Source organism: Homo sapiens, chromosome 19, assembly GCF_000001405.40.
Source record: "Homo sapiens chromosome 19, GRCh38.p14 Primary Assembly".
In the NCBI taxonomy this organism is placed as follows: domain Eukaryota; kingdom Metazoa; phylum Chordata; class Mammalia; order Primates; family Hominidae; genus Homo; species Homo sapiens.
Window position 1 is genome coordinate 15,722,678 of NC_000019.10, and position 6,703 is coordinate 15,729,380.

The 6,703-nt window shown below is 46.6% G+C and overlaps 1 protein-coding gene across 1 annotated transcript; it reads left to right on the forward strand.

The window, feature by feature from the left end:
• The first annotated feature begins 5,346 nt into the window (after positions 1–5,346).
• Positions 5,347–6,375, forward strand: OR10H2 (olfactory receptor family 10 subfamily H member 2). Its single transcript, NM_013939.2, has one exon. It carries the CDS (start codon positions 5,367–5,369, stop codon positions 6,312–6,314), a length of 948 nt encoding a protein of 315 aa, NP_039227.1. The 5' UTR covers positions 5,347–5,366; the 3' UTR covers positions 6,315–6,375.
• The last annotated feature ends 328 nt before the right edge of the window (positions 6,376–6,703 follow it).

Sequence of the window (6,703 nt, forward strand, 5' to 3'; positions counted from 1 at the left end):
AAGGAAGTAGATGGAGAAGATGTTTCTTTTTCTTTTCTCTTTCTTTTCTTTCTCTTTTCTTTTTCTTTTCTTCCTCCTTTCTTTCTTTCTTTCTTTCTTTCTTTCTTTCTTTCTTTCTTTCTTTCTTTCTTTCTTTCTTTCTTTCTTTCTTTCTTTCTCTTTCTTTCTTTTCTTTCTTTCTTTCTTTTTTTGGAGATACAGTCTCACTCTGCCACCCAGGCTGGAGTGCAGTGATTTGATTGATCCCGGGTGAAAGTTGCGTGGGGGGAACACCGTCGTGTACCATCCTCGGCGCGTCTCCGTGAGTGGTGCTGCGAGTGCGCATGTCTGCACGCATCTCCAGGTGTGCATGGTGCCAGGACGCTCTGCAGGTGCGTGTCCACCTCCGCGTGCAGGGTCTCTGCCTCTGTGAGGGCTCAGGTCTGAACATTCTTGCTAGTGCGCGCGCGTGCCGGTTGGGTGCACGCTTGGTGTTGGCGACAGAGCCTGCAGCACGTGGGGAGAGGTGGCAGGCGGATGCAGGTACATGGACAGGTGTGTGAGGGACACAGTGGGCACCCGTGTCTCAGTCTGTGGAGGCGGAAGCCGCCCATCCCTGAGCTTTCCTGAGGAGCCTCCCCCTCTGCTTTCAGACACAGCTGGGGTGGGGCTCAGCGCTGTCCTGGGCGGGAGCAGGAAGGCTGAGCCGGGACAGCGCTGTGGGTTCTGCCTCCCTTAGCTCCGGACTGACCCTGGGCACCCCAGGACCCTCTCCCTTCCTGAGCACAGGCTAGGCTGTGAACACAGTGCAGAGACAGGGAGAGGTAGAACAAGGCTGAGGGTGGCCCACGGTCCATTTTTTTTTTTTTTTTTTGAGATGGAGTTTCGCTCTGTCACCCAGGCTGGTATGCAGTGGCGCAATCTCGGCTCACTGCAACCTCCTCCTCCCGGGTTCAAGCAATTCTCCTGTCTCAGTGATTCTCCTGTGATTCTCAGTGATTCTCCTGCCTCAGCCTCCTGAGTAGCTGGGATTACAGGCATGTGTCGCCACGCCCAGCTAATTTTTGTATTTTTAGTAGAGACAGGGTTTCACCAGGTCGGCCAGGCTGGTCTCGAACTCCTGACCTCAGGCGATTCACCTGCCTCAGCCTCGCAAAGTGCTGGGATTACAGGCGTGAGCCACCGTGCCCGGCCCCATGGTGTACTTTTTAAAAATTGAAATAAAATTCTCATAATATTGAATTAAATAGTATAAAGTGTACAATTTAGTGGTGTTTAGTACATTCACAAGGTTGTACAACCACCACCTCTATCTAGTTTCAGAATATTTTTGTCCCCACCCTTAAAAACCCGTACCCATGAGCAATCACTCCCCATTCCCCCCTCCCAGCCCCTGTCAACCAACACCTGCTTTCTGTCTCTATGGATTGGCCTGTTCTGGACATTTCATAGCAATGGGATCAGAATATATGTGACTCTTTTGTCTGGCTTCTTCCACTCAATATCGTGTTTTCAAGGCTCCTCATTTTGCATGGGTCATGATCCGTGTTGCATGGGTCAGTGCTTTATTCCTTTTTATTTTTTATAGGTATATAGTAGGTGTGTATACTTATGGGGTACATGAGCTGTTTGGACAAAGGCATACGATGAGTAATAATTACATCAGGGTAAATACAGGATCCATCACCTCAACCATCACCTCAAGCATTTGTTGTTTCTTTGTGTTACAAACATTCCAATTATATATATATATATATATATAATTTTTTTTTGACAGAGTCTTGCTCTGTCGCCCAGGCTGGAGTGCAGTGGCATGATCTTGGCTCACTGCAACCTCTACCTCCCAGGTTCAAGTGATTCTCCTGCCTCAGCCTCCCGAGTAGCTGGGACTACAGGCACATGCCACCACACCCAGCTAATTTTTGTATTTTTAGCAGAGACGGAGTTTCACTATGTTGGCCAGGATGGTCTCGATCTCTTGACCTTGTGATCTGCCCGCCTTGGCCTCCCAAAATGCTGAGATTACAGGCATGAGCCACCACACCCGGCCTCCAACTATACTTATTATATTAACTAATTATATTTAGCTCTTATAAAATATACATTAAATTATTGTTGATTGTAATCCCCCTGTTGTGATATCAAATACTAGATCTTATTCATTCTGTCTAACTATACTTTTTTACGCATTAATCATCCCCACTCCCCCCCAGCTATGTGCACTACCCTTCCCAGCCTCTAATAAACATCCTTCTGCTCTCTATGTCCCTGAAAGCAATTCTTTTAACTTTTGGCTACCACAAATGAATGAGAACATGCAAAGTCTGTCTTTCTGTGCCTGGCTTATTTCACTTGACATAATGACCTCCAGTTCCATTCATTTTGTTGCAAAGGACTGGATCTCATTCCTTTTTTGTGTCTGAGTAATACTCCATTGTGTATATGTACCACATTTTCTTTAACTAATTCTCTGTTGATGGACACTTAGGTTTCTTCCGAATCTGGGCTATTGTGAATAGTGCTGCAGTAAGCATGAGTGAAGAAATCTCTTCAATGTACTAATTTCCTGGCTCACATCTGTAATCCCAGCACTTTGGGAGGCTGAAGTGGGTGGATCACTTGAGGTCAGGAGTTTGAGACCAGCCTGGCCAAAATGGTGAAACCCCTCTCTACTAAAAATACAAAAATTAGCTGGGTGTGGTGGCAGGCACCTGTAATCCCAGCTAAGTGGGAGGGTGATGCAGGAGAATCTCTTGAACCTAGGAGGTGGAGGTTGTAGTGAGGTGAGAATATGCTATTGCACTCCAGCCTGGGCAATACAGTGAGACTGTCTCAAAAATAAAATTATGATTTTCTTTCTTTAGGGTATATGCCTAGCAGTGAGATTGCTGGATTGTAAGGTAGTTCTATTTTAGTTTTTGGGAAACTTCCATACTGTTCTCCATAGTGGCTGTACTAATTTACATCGCCACCAACAGTGTATGAGGATTCCCTTTTCTCTGTGTTCTCACCTGGATTCTCTATCTTTTGGACAAAGCTATTTATTGTCTTCTATCTTTTAGATAAAAGCTGTTTTAACTGGCATGAGCTTTCAAAAATTTAGATTAAATTTATTTAACCTGAAATTATCCTTTAAATATTTTAAAGTGGACAATCAGTGGCATTTAGTACATTAACATGTTGTGCAGCTACTACCTCTAGTTACAAGACATTGTCACCATTCCAAAAAGAACTTCATATCCATTCATCAGTCATTCCCCATCCCACGCTAGCCCCATTCCCTGACAACCACACATCTGCTTTCTTTCTCAGTGGATTTAACTATTCTGGACATTTCTTATAAATGGAATTATATACTATGTGGCCTTTTGTGTCTGGCTTCCTTCACTCAGCCTCATGTTCTCAAAGTGCATCCACGCTGTTGCATGTATCACTGATTCAATCTTTGCGTGGTTGCATAATATTTCATTGTGTGGTCGGACCACATTTTGTTTATCCATTCATTCATTGATCCAGTTTGCATTGTAACATAAACTTTTGTATTTTGCATCTAGCCTGTTTGCAGACTGGCAAGAAAGAGAGTGGGAGAGGAGTCACAGCCTCCTAGTTTAGTTTGTTGGGGAACTTCCATAAACTAAATAAAGTAGAAGGGCTCCTATTGGTGCAGGGAGGAGAGCTGCCCTGGCAGAGAAATTGGGCAGATCTGACTCTGTGGCCACTCAGGGAAGGTGATGAGAGAAGCCATGGCTGATAGCCTAGGTTTTTGCTGTTAGGTTTGGGATTGGAGGATTGGGGTTGGGGTCAAAAAGAGGAGGAGACCAGCAGAGTCACGTAGTGGAAGCATGCTGGGCCCATAGCCTAGAGGTCAGTGGACCATAACCATTTTCTGCTAAGAAGTTTTTGACTGGGCATGGTGGCTCACACCTATAAATCCCAGCACTTTGGGAAGCTGAGGCAGGCTGATCACTTGAACTCAGAAGTTCAAGACCAGCCCGAGCAACATGGTTAAACCCCATCTCTACTAAAAATACAAAAATTAGCCAGGTGTGGTGATGCGGGCCTGTAATCCCAGCTACTCAGGAGGCGGAGGCAGGAGAATTGCTTGAACCCAGGAGGCGGAGGTTGCAGTGAGCCGAGATCATGCCACTGCATTCCAGCAGGGACAGAGTGAGACTCTGTCTCAAAGAAAAAAAAAAAAAAAAGCGGAATTGTGATAGAGAAAGAGTAATTCACACAGAGCTGGCTCTGCAGGGGACTGGAGTTTTATTATTACTCAAATCAGTCTCCCTGAGCACTTGGGGAGCAGAGTTTTTAAGGACAACTTGGTGGGTGGAGGGGAAGCCAGTGAGCCAGCAGTGCTGATTGGTCAGAGATGAAATCAAAGCTGTCTTCTTGCGGAGAGTCAGTTCCTGGGTGGGGGCCACAAGATCAGTTGAGCCAGTTTATCGACCTGGGTGGTGCCAGCTGATCCATCAAGTGCAGGATCTGCAAAATATCTCAAGCACTGATCTTGGGAGCAATTTAGGGAGGGTCAGAATCTTGTAGCCTCCAGCTGCATGACTCCTAAACCATAATTTCTAATCTTGTGGCTAATGTTAGTTCTACAAAGGCAATCTAATCCCCAGACAAGAAGGAGGTCTGCTTTGGGAAAGGGCTGTTATCGTCCTTGTTCCAAACTATAAACTATAAACTATAAACTAAATTTCCCCCAAAGTTAGTTCACCCTATGTCCTGGAATGAACAAGGACAGCTTGGAGGTTAGAAGCAAGATGGAGTTGGTTAAGTTAGATCTCTTTCGCTGTCTCAGTCATAATTTTGCAAAGGTGGTTTCAATTTTCCAGGGGAGCAATGAGGCTCAGAGAGGGGAAGCAACCTGCCCTGCATCTCACAGCTAGAAAGCAGTGGTGCCGAGAATTAAACAGAGTCTGGACGTTTCCATGACATAGGGAAGAGATGACTTCCAGCTGAAGGTGGCAATCAGGGAGCAGCTTGCTCATAAAATTCAGGTAGGATTTGGACCCATAAAGATAGGGAAAAGCATGAAAAGACCAGCATGAACAAAGGCAGAAAAGCAAGGTGTAGGTGGTGGTGCATGGATCTAATAATCGTGATGGCAATAACAATAGCAGAATAATTATTACTATCAACATTTATAATTTATTAAATTCTTACTTTGTGTCAGGACCTGCACAAAGCACTTAAGGTGAGTGATCTTATTTAAACCTCAATACATTATTATTAATGCCTTTCTGCAGATGGAGTAACCATGGCTTGGACAGATGAAGGAGGCGCTCTCAGATGTCCTCCCAGGCAGGAATCACTAGACACCCCCATGCTCCTAACCACTGGGTCTTCTTTCCTCTCTTCCCCAACTAGGGGTGGCCGTCATGCTGGGGCTAAACCACACCTCCATGTCTGAATTCATCCTCGTCGGCTTCTCTGCCTTCCCCCACCTCCAACTGATGCTCTTCCTGCTGTTCCTGCTGATGTACCTGTTCACGCTGCTGGGCAACCTGCTCATCATGGCCACCGTCTGGAGCGAGCGCAGCCTCCACACGCCCATGTACCTCTTCCTGTGCGTCCTCTCAGTCTCCGAGATCCTCTACACCGTGGCCATCATCCCGCGCATGCTGGCCGACCTGCTGTCCACCCAGCGCTCCATCGCCTTCCTGGCCTGTGCCAGTCAGATGTTCTTCTCCTTCAGCTTCGGCTTCACCCACTCCTTCCTGCTCACCGTCATGGGCTACGACCGCTACGTGGCCATCTGCCACCCCCTGCGCTACAACGTGCTCATGAGCCCACGGGGCTGCGCCTGCCTGGTGGGCTGCTCCTGGGCTGGTGGCTCGGTCATGGGGATGGTGGTGACCTCGGCCATTTTCCAACTGACTTTCTGTGGATCCCATGAGATCCAGCATTTTTTATGTCATGTGCCACCTCTGTTGAAGTTGGCCTGTGGAAATAATGTACCAGCTGTGGCCCTGGGCGTGGGCTTGGTATGTATCATGGCACTGCTGGGCTGTTTTCTCCTCATCCTCCTCTCCTATGCCTTCATCGTGGCCGACATCTTGAAGATCCCTTCTGCTGAAGGTCGGAACAAGGCCTTCTCCACCTGTGCCTCTCACCTTATTGTGGTCATTGTGCACTATGGCTTTGCCTCTGTCATCTACCTCAAGCCCAAAGGTCCCCACTCTCAGGAGGGTGACACCCTGATGGCCACCACCTACGCAGTCCTCACGCCCTTCCTCAGCCCCATCATCTTCAGCCTCAGGAACAAAGAACTGAAGGTTGCCATGAAGAGGACCTTCCTCAGCACACTCTATTCCTCAGGCACCTGAGTAGCTGGTGTGGAAGTGCTGATAGAATATGATAGGAGGATGACCATCACCTTGTCTGCACAGTGTGGCTAGTAATGCTTACCTTGTAAGGCAGGTGTAAAGATTTCTGTATATGACAACACTCATCACATAGTAGGTGCTCAGTAAATGTTAAAAGCATGTTTACTTCCACAACTCTTGATCTGTATGTCTTTATCTGAGTTTTAATTTTTGAGTTATAGTAGCTTTATTAAGATGTAATTCACCTACCATACAATGTACCCATTAGAGCGCACATTTCTGTGGTTTTTGCGTATTCAGAGTTATGCAACCATCATGACAATCTGGCTTAGAGTATTTTAGTCATCCAAAAAAGAAACCCAAATCCTAGTGCTTTGGAAGGCTGAGTG

What these genes read in the sequence shown, in the direction of transcription:
- OR10H2 (NM_013939.2), top strand. Translation starts at nt 5,367, where the DNA reads ATGCTGGGGCTAAACCACACCTCCATGTCTGAATTCATCCTCGTCGGC.